Source organism: Homo sapiens, chromosome 5, assembly GCF_000001405.40.
Source record: "Homo sapiens chromosome 5, GRCh38.p14 Primary Assembly".
In the NCBI taxonomy this organism is placed as follows: Eukaryota; Metazoa; Chordata; class Mammalia; order Primates; family Hominidae; genus Homo; species Homo sapiens.
This window is the reverse complement of record NC_000005.10, coordinates 11,887,805-11,906,708: the sequence shown is the minus strand read 5'-3', so window position 1 is coordinate 11,906,708 and position 18,904 is coordinate 11,887,805. Positions and strand designations below refer to the sequence as shown.

At 40.1% G+C, this 18,904-nt stretch overlaps 1 protein-coding gene across 6 annotated transcripts in view; it reads left to right on the top strand.

The window, feature by feature from the left end:
* Positions 2,263-18,904, top strand: part of CTNND2 (catenin delta 2) — a 932,611-nt gene continuing 915,969 nt past the window's right edge. For all 6 annotated transcript variants that reach the window (NR_109988.2, XM_017009074.2, XM_017009072.2 and 3 more), the window contains exon 1: positions 2,263-2,892. Coding sequence is in view for 4 of the 6 variants with exons in the window: in XM_017009074.2 (XP_016864563.1) it covers positions 2,856-2,892 (37 nt within the window). In the remaining 2 variants the exon portion in view is untranslated. The remainder of the gene's footprint in view (positions 2,893-18,904) is intronic.

Genomic DNA, 18,904 nt, shown 5'->3' with positions numbered 1-18,904 from the left:
AGCAGTGAGTCGTTCCAAGATCTAACATTATACATGTTCATTTTGCTTTATTTTTCAATATTATCTAATTGTGAATTGAATAATATCTTAAGTTACAAATTATTCTAGAATAATAAAAGTCATAAATGTTTCAATGAAATGGGGCACTGAGCAAATGAAATCAAAGCAGTCCAGGACATTGGACTTTACCACTCTGCTTCCTAAATAACCATATCACACCAGCCCCAGCCCCAACAGTATCTGTAGGGACTGCCTCCAGCTCATTTCCCAGACACACAATTAGTTGATAGAATTTGTCATTGCTCATCTCGATAGTAACTAAAAAACGTTAGAAAATTATTTTCTTTACTTAGATCTATATCAGGCATAAAAGACACATATATTACCTGTGGATAGCATCTACACATCTACCTCCATTTTAATCTAAAGAGTAACTGATGTCCCCTCATCTCCCTTTCCACCTCCCCACTGACTTCTTGAGTTAGAAGATGCAAAGAGAAAACCAAACGATAGCAGACTGACAGAAGCTCAGGTGGGAACTAAGAACATCTCTTGAAATATAATGTGGCCTAATGGATATGGTGCTGCTAATTTGTCTTGTACCACGTACTCAGTGTAATTGAACTGCCTTTCTGAGAACTAAGATAAAAATTACAATTAAACGTGTGATGAAAAAAATGGTCTTGCATGTCTTCCCTCACAGGACTCAGGATATTTTAATATCAAACTGGCTTTAAGACACTTGGAGTTAGCTTGGAGAACTGTTTTTTGCAGGTGAGACAAAGCCTGTGTGTGCATGTCCACACCTGGGGTAGGAGGAATAAAAGCGAACATTTGTACTGTTGTCAATAGTCTGCTTAATCTGCTCCTCCTAGCAATTATTTGTTACCTATTTAACCTCTGTACCGCTTTTCTCCTTCACTCTTACTTCCATTTATATTTCAACTTACTCCCAAGTATAATAAAGAATAGACTTGAATATTCAAATCATTTAAGTTTGTTGGATAATCTCTTTCAACACAAAATAGAAGCACAATGTTACTGAGAATCGTAAGCACCAAATCCCTTTTATTACAATTTCCTGCATTCTGTCATGCTTATTTGTGTTTCAGAAACAAGCTCTGCGGGGGTGGGGGGGGTGGGGGGGGTGGAGGAGATCACAACCTCAGACAGTCTGCGGTGTTCAGGGTCATGCCCGTGGCATAATTAGGAGGAACATTCGACCTGGCCCCTGGGCAGGCTGTGCCCTGCTTGGCTTGGCTTGTGAATGCAGCAGACGTGAGCCCCGTCCTGACTGCTGCTGAATCAGAGGGACAGGGGCGAAGGCCCAGAGGCCTTCCTTGGCACATGTTTTGGGTTTCGTTTTTCAACAAGACTTTGAATACGGTGATTCCACTTGCTGTATTTCACAGCAGGCTACGCATGGGGAAGTCCCGATGGGGTCAAGGAGCAGTCAAGCCAGGAGGTGATATGGAAAACTGATTTGAACGTGAAGAAGGCAATGCGAGATGCACTGGAAGACTGTGGGGAAGGATCAGGGGAGTGGTTCACTTTGAAATAAGGAAGAAAAGGAGGAAGAGAAGGTGGCAGAGATGCAGCAGAAGATACCAAGAGAGGAGGACAAGGTGGCACAAGAAGGGGAGGAGAGAGAACTTAATCTGCTCAAGTTCCAGACTGGGCAAGGGTCTTTCTTGCAGGAAGTTTACAGACATTCCAGTTTCAAATCTGAAGTGATTTTGCCTAAGGAGAAACCCTCACTACCCGCCAAAAACATGCCATCTGAACAGGGAAGGTGATGGCAAGATTGGGCAGGTGCTGTGGAGAAGACCTCTGCTGGACTTCGTGCCTCCTTAGCTCTGGAATCACAGGATCTGCAAGAGCATCTACCTGCGCTCACCAGCACGTTCCGCCAGCCTCCCTCCCCCAACCCACCTGGCCACTCTAGGACCCCTCGCACCCTGGTCCTTTGTTGCAGGCTGACATCTGCCCCACCAGAGTCAACTGTCAGCGCCTTGCACGTGAATTAGGGAAGCGGAGTAACCTGGGGTTCCATCCCTTCCCGGGTCCCTTCCAGCTTTCGCCTAGCTCCGGAGCATCCACCCATCTCAGGTCCAGGGCGTGCGTTCCCAAGGATGCTCGGCCCTCTCCCAACCCGCGGCCTCCTCCCCTCTCTCCCGCGGCTGCCGCTGCTGCCGCGAAAACCAGGAGAAGTGGAACGCGCGCGGCGAAGCGCCGCTCTCGCGGCGGCACTGGGCATGCTCCGCACCCGGGGCCGGTTTCGGCGGCGGGGCGGACGCTCCCTCACTAGCCGGGCGCCCGGGCCGGCCGCCGAGGTTTAGGTGGAGGCTGAGGCTGCCGCGCGCCGCGGGAGGAGCCTCGCCCTCGGCGGCTGAGGCGGCGGCGGCACAGGTGGCGCGGGCCGCGCGCGGGGCGCAGCTCGGGAGCGCTCGGCGCCGGGCGCCGCGGCGGCCCCAGGCTCGCGCCCGCGGCGACAGCCGGCTGAGCGGAGCTGCGGGCGCGGCGGCTGCTCTCTCAGCCCGGCCGGCTGGCGGCGGCGCCCGGAGCCCCGAGGAGCCCGCAGGAGCCCGTGGAGCCCGCGGAGCCGGGCAGGGGGCGCTGCGCTCGCCGAGCTCGGAGGGGCCGCCGGGCCGGGCGCTGCGCACTCGCGTCGGGAGCCGCCTCTCGCCCGCGGCGCTCGCCCCTGCCGCCCGCCAGCATCCCTTGTCCCGCGGCCGCGCTCAGACAACAAAAGCGGAAGATGCTGCAGTTGGGCAAGGTCAGGACCTTGCCCTGAAGCCGGGCGGCGCCGCGCACGCCTCTTCCCGGACTGAGGAGCTGTCGCCGGCGGAGGGTGCATGTTTGCGAGGAAGCCGCCGGGCGCCGCGCCTTTGGGTGAGTTGCGGGGCTGGGCGGCCGGGGCCGGGCGCAGCCTCCTCCCGGCGCCGTCCTCCTCCTCTTGCCGCTGGTGGGGGTGGTCCTGGGCTCCCGGCCGGCAGGCGGCGGCGGCGGCTGCTGCGGGGTTTCTGCCTGCCTCGGGGAGGACCGCGATCGCGCCAGGTCCCCCTCGGAAGCCGCTGTGCCTGGAAGGGGGTCCGGGGTTAGTGCCTTTCTTGGAGCGGTTACCAAGTGGCTGCCCTGCGTGCTCCCCCTCCCTGCCACCCATCTCCCCGGGAGGAAGCGTATTTAGGGCAACACCGACAATGCTGCTCCCCGCCACCCTGAGAACATACTCGGTGCATTCATGACGTCCCTAATATACGGGAGGAGACGGGGTGGGGGTGGGGAGGACTTCCCTCCAGTCTTTTGCCCTTATGTTCAATGTCATTACGATGTTTGGCTAGAACAAAATGGAAAGACTTAGTCATATGCGTCCATGGCCGTGTCTTCAGGCTCCCGCGGCTTGCCAGACCCTGAGCCCCCTTGGTCTATATTTAGCGGCTTCCCAGCAAGCCTTTGCAGCCGGCTTCACAGGTTTCGGGGGCTTCTGCGTGCTGACAATAGACAGCCAGGCTCCAGAAAGCGCCGCCTGAAAGCCAGGTTTGGAAGGCTGTGCGTGTGTATGGGAGATGAGCGATGCAAAATTGGGGTGATCCGTAATTAATGGCTGAAAGCGAAGCTGCTTTTTTCTTTTTTTCCCGACCCTCATCTTATTCTGGTGTGTAGTGTGTTTTCTTCGATTGCCACTCGGCAGGTTGAGCCTCTGCTTTCAGAATTAAGTCACTAGAAAGGTGATGCAGCCTCCCTGGTGTTTGTGGTAGGAAAACAGACTTGGGAATTTTTGGGGTGTGTGTGTGTGTGTCACAAATAACAGTTACTTCCAAAATGCCCAAAGTTGTATTTTGCTGTAACCGTGGGGGTATGAAGGGTGTGGGAGATGAGAGATAGAGGGGCAGGTTGTGTTTCCAAGGTGTTTTTTTTTCTTTTCTTTTCTTGTGTGCCTCATTTGAGCTGATCTGATTCGCCTTAGCTCTGGCAGGTGTTATTAAGATGTATTTTTACTGTGCTCAAGCAAATATGTTGATTTAGAAAACAGAGAATGTTGTCAGCATAGTATTAGGCCTGACAGGTGTAAATTTTCACTTTTAAGAACTATGTGACCAATATTTAAGAGTCTTGGGATTTTCTGCAGTGACTTCCATGAAAACAAGGAGGTGCTGAAACTCCCTAGGAGTTATCTCATTGTGCATACTTCATCAGGGGCTGAAGCTACCGAGGGCAGTCCAGCTGGTCTCTGCTGCTGGTCATTCACCTACATAATGACAAGGCTTCGGGGCTGCACCACTTCTAAAATCCCATGGAGAAGTGTTTGCTGTGACTCATATCAAGTTATGGCGGTGAACCTGTCATTATTTTGGGGATTTCTGCTACGAGACGTGTGATATATAGGGGCGAGTATCCTCAAATACGAACTAGATGCTTTAAACTGCCCTCAAATGTCTTTTATTAGCATATGGTTGCCATACGGAGAATGTTCCTACTGTTGTTGGGGAAAAATGTTAAGTGGCATCATTACTGATCTGTGGGTTCCAAGGGCTCAGGGCTTGAAGGAAGACGATTACATTCGGAGTTAAGTGTTGAAATTTGGGAGGCCTTTGATTACACTAATCACAAGTCAGTGTTGCAGGAGGACTGGCAAGGTCTATACGGCTCAAGTTGATTGAATACTGTGATTAGTCTTTAGCAATATTGCTTTAGTTTCACCTTATTCACATTCAGGGAACTTTCCGAGAGCACTTTGAACACACCGTTATGCCCACTGCATTGTTTTAATATAAAATTTCTTTCAAAAGCAATAGATGAAGTAGCATACATGTCTCGTTTCCTTTTCTTTTTTCCTTTTGAGCCTAGTGTTTCATTCTTAAACATGATTTTTAAAGGACTAGTTGATACTGCTCTGTGCCTGTGTGTGTACCCAGAGCGGCCGATGGGCATGTGAAAAACTACATATACTGTATATGTGGGTTTTATGTTATATTGTGGATTGAAAATGATATTATCTGATTGAATGGCAATTGTGGTAAGTACGTGAGGTTGTTGCCCTAATAAAATTGTCATAGTCTTGCGGAAAGGAGTTATTTAATTTGGTGTACGTTTGTGTAGTTGTATAACCCAGTCATTATAGATGTCACTAATGTTTTCATTGTTCGTAATAAAAGTCATACACTGTCAAATTACAGTATTTCTATCCACTTTACATCTTTCACAATAGAATATAAGCCAATTCTTTCTCCCAGTGAAATTGTTCATCAGAGACAAAAATGAAATTCAAATACTAGTTTGCAAATGCAATTTATAGTTTTGTTAAATAATTTCTAAGGATAATATTGCTTTCATAATAGTTTCTAAAATTAAAAATGAAGTTATAATCTCAAATATAATATTACTTTGGCATTTAGTTGAATATGCAGTGTATTTGCAGAAAATGTTACAGAACTTGCTCTTTTCTGTTTTGCCTTATCAGACTTCTTTCTTGTGTGGTATGAATTTGTGTGGACTTGTCGAAGGGGTTTTCAGAGTAATTTCATCAGGTTGTCTTTAAGAAAACATTAACATTACATTTGAAATAATTTATTGTAATTTGTCCATAGGGTCAGTACACTATGTATGGACCAGTGTATACAGCTGTAACAAGCCAATTGAATTAAAATAGAAACTGTTACATTTTGAACTTCCAATGTTTTCTTCTTTATGATTAGCCACAGAAAATGGGAACACCCATTTTTGTTTTTTCTCTGTGCGAACATTATTTTCACTTCTTAGAGGGAAATCCTTGATGCTAGTCTCACTTTTCCTAACAGAGTTTTTATTTTTAAAAGACTTAACATAGTTGGGAGTACTTAAACTTGGATGTCATAATTCAGACAATGAACAAAAACTAAGCATGGACTGCTAGTCATTTTCAAGTCCAGTACTTCAGCTGAAGGTGTGGTTCTTTGCTGGCTGATTTGCAAGTTGGAAATACACTGCCAAGCCAAATTCATTGTTGGCTTCCATGATGGTTTTCCTCATTCATCTTCTGAAGGTGTTCTCCTGTCCACAGTACTTTGATAGCCTTCTGGTGTGTGAAAAGTTAATTTGAGTAGGAACAGTTCATGATACTTGTTGCTAGCTTCAAGTTATCTGATTATATGCCAAAGCAACAGCTTTTTATATTAATATAAAATATTAAACATGTCATCAATAAATAGTTTCTATCACATTGTCTGCCAATCCAGCCTACTGATTAACAAACTGCCTGGTTGGGTTTAATAAACTCAGTTATAGTCACAAACAGTACCTCCAACACAGGGAACTCACAGAAATATTTTATCATACTGTGCTTTTTAGTCCATTAAATATTAAGACTCATAACAAAAATCTGCAGTTATGACACCTCCAGTTGTTTATCTTTTGATCACATAGCAGTTAAGTGCAATTCCAAGCTCTGAATCATGGTTAATTGATTTGTAGGAAGTGTCTTAGCTATGTCAGGATATTGAAGTACCTGTATCAATTAGTTTTTGACAAATTGGAAATAATGACTAAATAAGTGAAACAATGCTTCCTAGAACCTTTCTATCTTAGATAAATATTCACCTGTCTCTCTTGGCACATTACGTGCAAAATGAATTACATATATTGAAACATTTTATTGGGTTCTTATATATTATATATTACAATATTTTGTAATAAAGTTACACATACACACACACACAAACACGTTATATGTCAGAGCCCAACTATTTCTCTAGAAATATGTTTGTGATCTGAAATGACAATTATTGGAAAAATAAGTTTCCCTAGTGTAATGCTGTTTTGCATTCTGCTTCTGGTGGGTACAGAGATGTGGAGAGAGCACTGGCTTTTGGTGGATTCCAGCCCTGTCTCTTCTTAGCTGTGTATCCCTCACCATTTATGTGATCCTCAGTTGTTAACTCAGTTTCTTCAGCTGTAAAATGGGTAGAATAAGACACAATATCTTAAAAGATTTCTTTGAGGATAAAGTGAGTAAGAGCATGGATAAGTGGCTTGTAAATTACAAAATTTATGTGAACACAAGAAATCAATATATACATATTAAGACAGGTACTAATGTTTTATACATATCTAATTAAATAGGTTATCTAGGTTACCATCCTCTCTAACAAAGGATATTAAATGGCTGTAATTTCCCTACCCCAACCCCTATTGTAATATTGCTTCATTATGCAGATTTGCTTATAAAATATGCTAAACTTTCTATTCTGAAACATACCAGCCCTTTATATATTAAAGTATATAGCAGTTAAGCTAAAGGAGAAGTAAATTATATCTCCCAACACCATTATTATAAAAGATTCTAACCCAGTAGAAATTACAAAACTTTGATATTCTTTATTAGTGTTATATTAGTCACCTGATTAAGATCAAATTTTCTACAAAGATTAATGTTGTACAAAGACTATCATAGACAGTTTAATAAGCATCACTCTCTGTGAGGTCAGATATTACACATCCGCTCTGTTTAGAACCACCGAGCATGAATCTCATCATCATGTCATTATGATAGAGAAAAAAGAAACCTTAAACAGCTAAATGTATTACATAAAGGGAAGACCCCCTCCCCAATTAAAATCAAGTCCTTGAAGAGAACTAAAAAGTGTGTGAATTGGTACCTCTTTGAAAATAGATGGTCATTTTTGCTTTGTTTCACTCTTAAGAGCTTCAGTGAAGACAAAAAAGTGCCCAGCTCTTCCAGGTTGGAAGATGTCCAGCTCCTTGGGATGATCAAACCCAGAGGGGCTTCATTTAGAACTGTGATCTTCAGCAACATAATTTTTAGGATAATTACGATTCGATGTATCTTGGAATTTGTTTCAGAATGTGAGCTGTATAATGGGGGACAAATTTATCTTCAGTCAGAAAAACATTTTTACAATAAATGTGGTTATTTGTATTCAAATTTATGTGTTGTTGTGGGAACTGCCAATTATAAGTTACCAGAGCAAAATACATGTTATGATAAAAGGCCTTACTGGGTTTTTTTGTTTTTTTGGATCAAAGTAAGCAGGTGAGCCAATTATATTTGGTTAAATAAATATATGTAACATTTCTACAAGTTTTGAATGATACAGAAATGTTACTAAATAGGATGTTTACTTTATAACACTAGATGATGGGGGAACAATTAATTGGATCATTGATATTAGAAAATACACTTCTCTTGCCTAGGTAAAGGCCAGAGAAGTGTATTAGTAACATTTTTGGTTTAACAGATGTGATTATCACAACTGTCATTAGAAATTTTAAGAAAACTGCATTTTGTGCATGTTTTATGCAGTTCTTTCTTTTGGTTTAGAAACCTCCTTATAATGTACAAATGCTTTATTGTATTATCTCTTTGCATTTAAATATGCAATTACATAAACCACAGAAAGGTATATAGTTACTTTAAGAATTACAAAATGTGCAGGAATGTGGGTTGTTGGTGTCTTTAAGGAATCAAATAAATATCAAGCTCTCCTCCTCCCCACTCCCCATCTCAGCATGTTGGGATATTGGAAGGGAAAAAGATAAATAATTGGCTGCCATGGGCAAAAATATCAGTTTTGATTAGACATAGCTTGGTGTGGCAGTTGAATTACATCCCAGGTCCTCTGCCTTCTTTCCCTCCTCCCTCCCCACAGGGACAGAGCTTTTTCTGAGCTGGCAGAGCCAAGCCTTGCTCTCTGCAGGGAGGATGATCTCCAGAGGAAGAGAGAAGCAGCAAGGCAAGCTGCTTCTTTATTCTTCAGAGGCAGAGAAAGTGAAAAGCTGGAGAGAGGCCAGCAGTGTTACATTAATTAAGTTCCCTTTGCCTGAAAGGAAATATCAGAATAGAGAAGAAGTGTTCCCCATTGGCATGGTTTATGAAGAATTCTAGTTGATAGAATTCTGGATATAGTAGCTTTCACAGTACTTTGCTTGGTAGTTGAGCTCTTTAAATATTTCATGGTATTTTGACACTACATCAAGAGTTATCAAGGTAGCGTCTAATGCCCTGGTTGATTTGTAGCAACTATGGTCCATGAAATTCAGCAGATTTATGTATAGCCAACTTTAAAATAACTTACCCTTGGCGTTCTTCCCCTATTTTTCATGTTATTCTTTAACTGCCAATAATTGGATCGCTTTGTAAGTGGTGAGAATTAGACATAAAAAAGATGATGTTAAAATCTGACTTCCCAAACCATATATAAGTGATCTAGGCTAGCTATTTTCCACAGCTTTTTCTGCCTCAGTATAAATAATTAGATTTTGGTGGCTGTTTGATGTTTTGCAATTAATAGGAGAAATCATGGACACAGTAAAGAAAGAAGATAAACATTGCTTTTCTAAATAGATACGATGTTGTATTTAAGTCTAAGCATGACTACTCAATCTAAAAATGCTCACTTTTTAAAACAAATTTTATCCTCTGTCACATATTTTATTTGGACTTTCAAATATTAGACTAATATAGCAGTCATTACCTTCAACAGTATACAATAATGTAATTTCCAGAAAGAGCAACCTCTTTGGTAGCTCCAAATGTAAAAGAGCCACAGTTCAATCTCTCATCTCTAACACAGTCTTCACTGGTGTGGAGCATTGTTCTTGGGGTCATGGGGAAACCAAATAAGGAAGAAGAATCCTCCAGAAAGACAGACAGGTGTTATATAAAAAGTCTCAGAGATAGTACAAATTGTCTCATTAACCCAGGACATGGAAGGTTGATGCAGGAAGGCTGGGGCTTGTAGCATCTGGATCAGATTATTTGTGTTGCTTAACTCAGGTTGAAAAAGAGTAATGTTAAATTCATAGCAGGTGCATAGATATATTATGGCACCTCTAGCCAAAGAAATATGCAATTATGAATTATAGTTTCAGAGTAGCTAATTATATGAGAACTATTCATAATACTAAAGCTAAGAAGATAATCAAGGCAAATAACTATATTGAATGTGATACCCAGCACACATACCCACTCCCAAATGTGAGAACACTGAGAACACAGTGTTTATGTCAGGGTTTCAAGAGTTTTGTTCTTTATATATTACTTTTCCACTAAATATATCATAGTTTAATATATATATTACATTATGCAGAAGAAAAGCATGCCTTTCCATTCTTGAAAAGAATAGTATATATTTATTTTGGGGTGAAGTTCATTAATTAGCTGAATGCATGACTTAAAGTTAACAAAGGTCATTCATCATGGAATGTAGATTACACAGATTTTGATCAGCCATACTTACATTTTCTCGCCTTTAAATTTGAGATTTGTTTGTTTTCAAAAGTAGTGCATGCTCATTGAAAATTCAAAAATACAGAAATGATTAAAAGAAGTTAAAATTCATGCATGGTTGCAAGCCCCAGAAATGACCATATTTTTAGCAGAGATATCAAGCGATACACATTTTTAAATTTAGAAAACATTGCTCATATTCTGTTTAGTTACCTATTAACATCTCATGTAATTAGTATTTATTTTTAGTGTCTGTTTTCCATACCTTTATATAACATTATTTACTTACATCACTCTGTTATTGGAGATTGATGACATTTTCATTTTTGGTAGTTATATTTAATGCTGTAATTAAGATCCTAATAACTAAATAGTTGTCATCAGGTTATTTACTCTAGATTACTTCCTAGAACTGGATGTTTTCAAGGTTGTTGATATATGTTGTTCATTTGTCTTCCAGGAAGATTATATAATTTATATTTCTCTCAGCAAGGCAGGAGTGTACAAATTTTCCCATGATTTCAACAACACTGGGTGTTGTAATGAGAAAAATAAAACTTCTAATTACATAGGAGAAATATTGTGTTTTTCTCTAATTCATTTGCTTCTCTATTAATATTCCTGAGGTTAAATATTTTCTAATTTGTTGGTGTCTACGTCTAATTTTTTTGTGAATTATCTTTTTATATCTTATACACATTTCTCAATTTATCTATTTTCCTTTTTTAAAATTGATTTATATTGTTTGTCTATAGTAATTATGTCACTCTGTCATGTCTTAACAGTTTATATATCATTTTATTGGTTCCTATTTTGGGAGCATAATTCTAAAGCTTGAAGTTAAACTTACTCACTTGTCCTACAGGAGTTCTTCTTTAAGGAAACATTTTACTGCTTGCTGATTTCGTGTGTCCCAGTAGTAAATACAGCAGTGGAGCAAATGGTTGAGAAAATAGCTTCAAAGTTGTACCCCAACTGACTGAGTTCATATCCCAACTTCATCATTTTCTAAGTGAACGGTTATTTTACTACTAAGTGTCATAACACAGGGGAAACAATAATTCCTGTGTCTTCAGGTTGTTGCGACGGTGAATTAAGAGACCATGGACTTAAAATACATAGCAGAGTATGTGGTATATTCACTATTACAACACACATTAGCTGTTTCTACTGCGAAATAATACAGATGCCAGATGCTTTTCTGTAATTCTGGCGTTTGCTTTTCCCACATGAAGCATAAACGCACCTGCACAGACTCCAGGATCACTGTGTGAAAAGGCAAGGTGTTTGTGGCAGTCCGGGGCTCACAGGTGCAGTGCTTTGTGTGTGGTTCTGGCACTTGACTGTGTGTTCTTCAGGGATGTCTCATTTCTCAAGTTCAAGTTCGTTGGGAAGAGCCAGGACACTGTTTTTAGGCAAACACATGATTTTCTACCTTCTCCCCCTGCTCTCAGGCACACACTCCTTCTCTCTGGTCACATAGGACCATGCTTCTCCCCAGCCCCACCCCATACTGGTAATCTATCTTTTAAAATAATTGATCCACAAATCATAGGATAGTAGTAGGCATGTAACAAACACTTAGTTCATCATTTGGGGCAAAAATGGTTTCTGAACCAAGGTTTCTTTGCTTGCTTTGGGTTGGTTTTGGGTACAGACACTGCAGCACCCTGGAGGGACCACTGCCTTAGGATGCCAAGTTCTGGGATCTAAATCGTGCTTGGCACTTGCCTTCTCTTGTGACTTTGCATCTTTGCCTATTTTGTCATTTGTTCCTTGGGATAAAAACTCACAGGGCTTTGTTGAATGTGCTGTGATAATTTAGGTGAAAATGCTTTGGGAAGCTTAATCATAATAAACATTTAAGTATAAAATATATTCTCTGGAACTTTTGATGCACTTCAAAAATACAGTAATGGTGGGGGGTAAGAGTTAGAGTCAAAAGATTTTCTTGCCTATAAAACTAAATCTCTGAATTTTGTTACTAATGTGTTTATAAAATGCCCACTTCCATAGTGGTTGTAAAGATATTGCTACATTTCATGCTATTGGCTATTGCCTAAAGGAAGAATTCTCCTTTATCCATCCGTAGAAGTAATTCTTGTTGTTTCTTCATACCACTTCAAATATTGTAAGTTATACAAAATTGGCCCAAAAAGTTTCTTGTATTTTTTCCTTGTGGTGCAGATATTTGCTGCTTAAAGATGGGAGTGGAATGAAGCCCTATTGTCCTTCAAGAGTGAAGTCTGTAGAAATGTCTCCAGAATATTATTTTCTCTCTTGGTGGGCTGCCGCGTCTGGCACCTGTGAGGCTTTATCAGAACAGTTTTAGAAGTGTGAACCATAGTTGGCTTCCATTTTTTGAGATATTTCCTTAAATACTTTGAACAAATTGCACAGAATTCTTATCGCTCTAACTGTAGTCTGCCAATAGGAAGAAATCATGTGTAAGTTACAGAAATCTAATTTATTCTCGATTCCCAAAACTTTTGAAGGAAGTAAAGAAGTCAAGTTAAACATTCCTCAATGAGTATGTTACTTAGTGAGTTACAAAGTTTTAGGTACTTGAGAGGGGATGCTAATCTTCGTTTTGCTGACTGCCTATAGCAATTTCAGATATGATCTTATAAATCAAAAGTCTTCTTTCAGCAGTTTAGCATGGGTTGTGTGATAAATTGTATAGTGACACCATATTTCCTGTTGCAGCAGTTGAGGGGATCCATGGGGTGTACTTAGCTTGTACTTAGCCTGTGGACCTAGGACAGAAGCGGAGTGTGAGAGGATAGAGCCAAGATGATGGCTGGAGGAAATTAACGTTCAGAAAGCATCCTTCTTCCTTTGCAAATATAGGCGATGGATGTGGAAGCTGAGGATGTTTTCATGAGCTAGGAGCTGGGAGTTTGGTAATACCTGGTAAATGCAGGAATTTCAAGAAGTGGAAAGGTGCAAGGTAGCTTAAACTAGTTTTAGAAACAGAACTATTATAATGGGCGAGTCCACTGTTTATTGATTTATGCATTCATTCAACAAACTGGACAAATTTAATTTTAAATGAGGCAAGAAGTTATAACTAGTAGTTAGCAGCAAGCTCTGGATGTATATACCTCCAGCGCTAGATAATCTGTCCCCCTCTGAATGGTTTAGTCATTTATTTTTCTAGTTGAAGGGTAGCTATTTCTATCCTTTTCAAACATGGATTTCCAACTGAGATGGCTGTGCAGCCTTAATTCCATCACATCTCTGAAATCCTTCCCTTTCTCCATGTGCCGATTCTCTTAAAATGCATTAATTGCTACTAGGATTTAAGATCTTTCAGTAGTAAACATAAATACTGTATGTTTACAGAGTAATAATATGAGTTTATATGGCTTCCTTGTGGCCTGATAAATCATGCATTTTACAGTAGTGCAGTTAGACCTACAGAATGGCAGGCGGTGCAGAGCCGCAAGTGGGAGAGCTGGTGACAGGGCTGGGTAAAGTGCTGTCTTAAGTTGAACAGAGTGTGGGAGGAAATATAAGCAAAGTTATTCCGTAGAATTTTATAGCATGTTAGTCTTTACAAGTGCTTTCTCATATTTTATCTCTTGAAAGGGAGGATAAGAATTTTGAAAGCAATGTAACAGATTTTTGGACCAGTAGTAGATTTCGTCGTGTTCACTGATTCTTGGAATATCCTTAGGTGATATTCATCTGATTTTAAATATACATGCTGTTCCTTACAGTTATTTATCATTTTAGCTAATTGAGATGTGGTGGGCTGGGATTTGGTGGCTATGTGAGGTTTTTTTTTTTAGCTCTGGCCCAAAGAAGGTGCTGTCTAACTCCGAAGAGATTTTGTCTTTTTTTTGGCAGTTTCTCTCAAGATCTTTGATGCTTACACAACTGTCCATTGCCTTTCCTTTTTCTTTTTATTCTTTAGAGCAAATTGCTTTGTGGATTATGAGGGAAAATATTTCTTCTTTGCTATAGCTTATTAATTTTCAATATGTGTACCCAGGACTTATGTTAAATAGTTAGTTCTACTACAGAAGTAATTTCAGTTTGTCTGCTGAATGGTTTTCATATTAGTAGAGCATTGTTACTTTCATGTTTACTGTCAGCATAGCTTTGAAGATAGATATTTATGGTCATTTGGAGAAATGTAGGACTGTTCGTACATTGATTAGAAGGCATCGAGAAGACAAATAAGGTAGGCTATTCATCCCAGTATCAGCACTGGTGCTATATGTACTCTTTGCATGAAATCATTGGCATGTGGAAAAGTTCACCATCATCAACAAGCTAAGCTGCATGTGGAAAAGTTCACCATCATCGACAAGCTAAGCTGCATGTGCATTCTGGGCTTAAAAATATAGACACAATGTAAGGTGTCAGGTTTTGTGATGTGCAGATGTGTGATGTTATAGAGAATATTATGATGTCAGAAGAATTTGTGAAGCTGTTCATGAATCACCAAGAGAAGATGGTAGGACGTTTTGACAACAGATTCACAGACTGTGCTGTAGCACTGAGTGGATAATTGAGTACCACACTGAAGGGCATAAATATTTCCTAAGGGCATAAATATTTCCAAATTTAATAACATACTATATTCCCTGTCATCTCAGAAGTTCAGAAAAACTTGTCCAATGTCAAGTGATAGTGCATCCTGGCTTTGGAAGGATTCCACCAAATTTTTTCCAAGACTGTCATAGTTGGCTCAGGCTGCCCTAAATTGTGTGGCTTAAACAACGTTTATTTCTCACAGTTTTAGAGGCTGGAATGTCTAAAATGAAGATGCTGGCAGATTTGATTCCAGGTGAGGGCTCTCCTCCTGACTTGCAGATGGCCGCCTTCCTGCTCTTTCCTCACATGGCCTTTTGTAGATCTCTCATCTGTCTTCTTAGAAAGCTGCTGATCCCTTCTTGAGGGCCCCATCCCCATCACCTAATCTAACACTAATTACCTTCCGGGGGTCCCATTTCCAAATGCCATCACATCGGGGGCTAGGACTTCATCATATTACTTTGTTGGTGGGTGAGGAGAAGACGCAAACATTCAATCTATAACAGAGACCACAGGATGAAACCAGCAAGTTACCCAGTGTCAAGGAAGGCCAATCTCTGGTGGCAGATTTTGGAACTTTGGTATTGAATTACTCCCTAAATGAATGATAATTCCTGATGGATAATATGAAGCTCTTTGAGCTATTTTATTAATAAGTGATTATTCAGCTCAGTTTAAATGTTTTGCTTTGATTTATAAAATTCAGAATGTGATACATAGAACAATATGGTATATAGAGTACCTAGACCCACATGTCTGTATTTATTAACATATGGCATTCCAGAGTTCCTTTTTAAGTGTATTTTTCAAAATTGCATGGATGCTTTTCATCTTGGTTGAACCTCCCACTTCTTGTCACCTTCAGTGTTAAGAGGCTGATCCAGCTGTCTCATTGCTCACCAGGGTTTCTGCAGCAGGCTCCTGGCTGGCCAACCCACTGTGAGCTCATCATTCCTACAGCCGTCCTAGGGCTCCTTCTAGTTCACCCACATCTTGCCTTAGCTTATAACCCTAGTGGTGACAACCAGCAAAAGGTCCAGTTTCTTTCTATTTTATCTTATCTCCCCTCTCTGTCCCTGGGTTTATTAGGCTCTAGCCACTTTGGCCGCCTGTCTCTGCTGATCATCCTGCGAAAGCAAGTGTTTCTGTCCTAACAGTTACCCTGTTTTATCTTTTTCATAACATATGAGTGATAGAAATCATCTCATTTATTTGTTGGTTTACAGGTTTGTTTCCATGTCTCCTTCCATTAGACTGCAACCTCCTCGAAGGTTGATCATTAAAATGACTTTAAAATTGATCATTTACTGATATAGTACACATAGGAACTGACAAGCATTAATGCATACCTGGCATCTAAGTAGCTGCCTTATGAAGGATAAAATTTTAATTCATCAAGTCATATCATAGATAGATGTTGAAATGAGAAGACAAGACAGAAGACGGATAGTCTATCTGAAGGGATGTGAGAGATCAATATGAAGATGAGTTTGTAAGAGCTGCCTGCCTTTCCATGTACAGGTGTAATATAGTGCTTTTTGCCTCTCTGGTCAGCTGCCATGGATGTCCTGGCATCCTCAGAGAGAGCAGGTTGTCTTTCAAAGGCAGGTTATCTCATGATAAATACAGCTGTGACAGGTTTTTGTGGCAGGAGGATATGTTAAATATATGAGACTATACTTTTGGTTCATGATTTAATATGAACCAATATAGAACCAAGAAATAGAACTGTACCAAGTTTAAGTTTTCAGGGACCAGTAATCAGCATCTCAGAAAAAGTAGTGGACTGTGAACTGCAGGAAAAAGTTGATTCTGATGGGAATTTTCAGGCTACTTTTTCAAGATATTATAATGAGAAAGTATAGATGAATAATGGCAAAATTGGAAGTACACAACATATATAATTATGAAAGTAGATTTATTTTCTCAAAGTGAATTTATATTTTTCATTATCTTTAAATTGAAGGTACTGTCTATGACTTGGAATATTGTCAACTAAAAGAAAAGTAGAATATTTTAAAAGACTATAAAATATTCAGATGCTAATTTTGGCATAAGACCTTGAGTGATAAAGGTTGAAAACATTGTGATGTCCTTTATAAAGAAGAAAGTTTAATGTGTTTGGGATATGGAGTTTTAAAAGTTGCAATGTAATAAAATGTTAGAAGTGAATTCTTGTGACTTCAAGAGTGATATTTTAGTAATTCTGTGTTTACTTTTATTTCATCTCATATAAGAAATGTCTGTATCTGAGAATTTATATTAATATAAAATGAAGTATTGCTTTTATAAACTTTAATATTTCCTGTTTGGACTCCACTATCATGAAATCCCCTGCTTATTTAAATTAGCTGTGCCTTTAGTGAATTATGTCTTTGAAATATAAACCTGCACACAGAAATGCTTGAAGTTATCAAATGTGTCATTAGACTGGGGAGGTTCCTTTGGCCTAACGAGTATTTTAAGGTAGTTGCCCTTTGGTGTTTAATTGTGGCTACCCACTCAAACACTAATTTAGAATGAGTTGTTTCTCTCTTGGAGCATTGAATTGGCTACATAGTTGTGCATCTTTAGTGTTTGAATCTGCTCTAAATTGTATCTTAAAATCATTAACTCAGTTTAGTCTTAGAGAGACATTTGAAGGTTTGTAACTGAAAATGTGTTACCTGTGGTGTGTCTGGGTGTAGATAATCTCAGAGCTCAGTGGAAGGTGGCATTCTGGCCCCTTCTCCCTATCTTCAGCTGCATGGTTGACATTCTGCATGCTGTCTAGTTACTCCAGCTTTTGGCTTTGAGTCTTACAGAAAGAAGGAAAAGGGGCCTTCATCTGATTATTTACCAAGGTTGGTACATGCCGTGAAAAGGTTTCTATTTAAGAGTCATTCTAGGGGCTGGGCGTGGTGACTCACATCTATAATCACAGCACTTTGAGAAGCTGAGGTGGACAGATCATGAGATCAGGAGTTCAGGACCAGCCTGGCCAACATGGTGAAACCCTGTCTCTACTAAAAATAGAAAAATTAGCTGGGCATGGTGGTACGTGCCTGTAATCCCAGTTACTCAGGAGATTGAGGCAGGAGAATTGCTTGAACTGGGACTGGGAGGCGGAGGTTGCAGTGAGCTGAGATTGTGCCACCTCACTCCAGCCTGGGTGACAGAGTGAGATTCCATCTAAAAAAAAAAAAAAAAAGAGTCATTCTGAGAACTTGAAAAATACACAACCAGGCCGACATTGCTGTGTTGCAAGTAGTAGGTAGGAGGATCATGTGAAATTTCTAACAGGTAACCATGTTTGATCTATAAAAATAACTATTCTAATTATTTTCACTCTCCTCAATGGAGGAGCTGATTAATAAGTGAAAAATAACATGTATTCCTTTCTTCCCCCTGAAATTCTTCATTTGGTGGCTTGACAAATAAGAGATTGGAATTCTCTTGTGTTTTCAAATACTAAGGGAGATGTGCCAACTCTTAGGTCATGGGGGAAACCATTGATTGGATTAAGGTTGGCAAGGCTGGAAAGAATTAGCTTAAGTCCCTGAGCCCACAGGCTAGTACGTTGGCCCTGGGGAATGGGGTGCACGCAGTCACTCTCTGCCACAGGGAAATACTCTTATCTTCGTCAACCATTCTACCTTTCCTGGGTCTTTTAGCCTAGTCGTAAGGTTGTAACTTTGGCCTTTAAGCTACACTAGGCTTAATTAAAGGACAGATGTAATGTTCTAATGTTTACAATATTCCATTTTCTAAGTTTCAACAACATTTTGTTTTTGCACTTTGAAATGTCATATGATTATTCTAAATGAGGTTAGAATTAATTTAAGAATGCCATTCATTTATAAAATTGAAGCCCTCAAGTCTTGTCCAAATGTTTACTTCAGATTGAATATGCTGGTAATACCAGGTTGAAAGCATTAAAATATAATTTAGCATCCAAGGATATGAGTAAGCAATTCATAAAAAGTGTCAATTAAAAAAATCTACTTTATATATAGCTTGATACAATGTGTTGAAAATAGTACTTTACTTTTGTGGCTTCTTCCCCAAAGCCCATAACCTCAGTCTAATCATGTGGAAGACATTTATTCTGCAGAATGCCTGACCAGTATGCCTCAGAACTGTCAAAGGCATCAA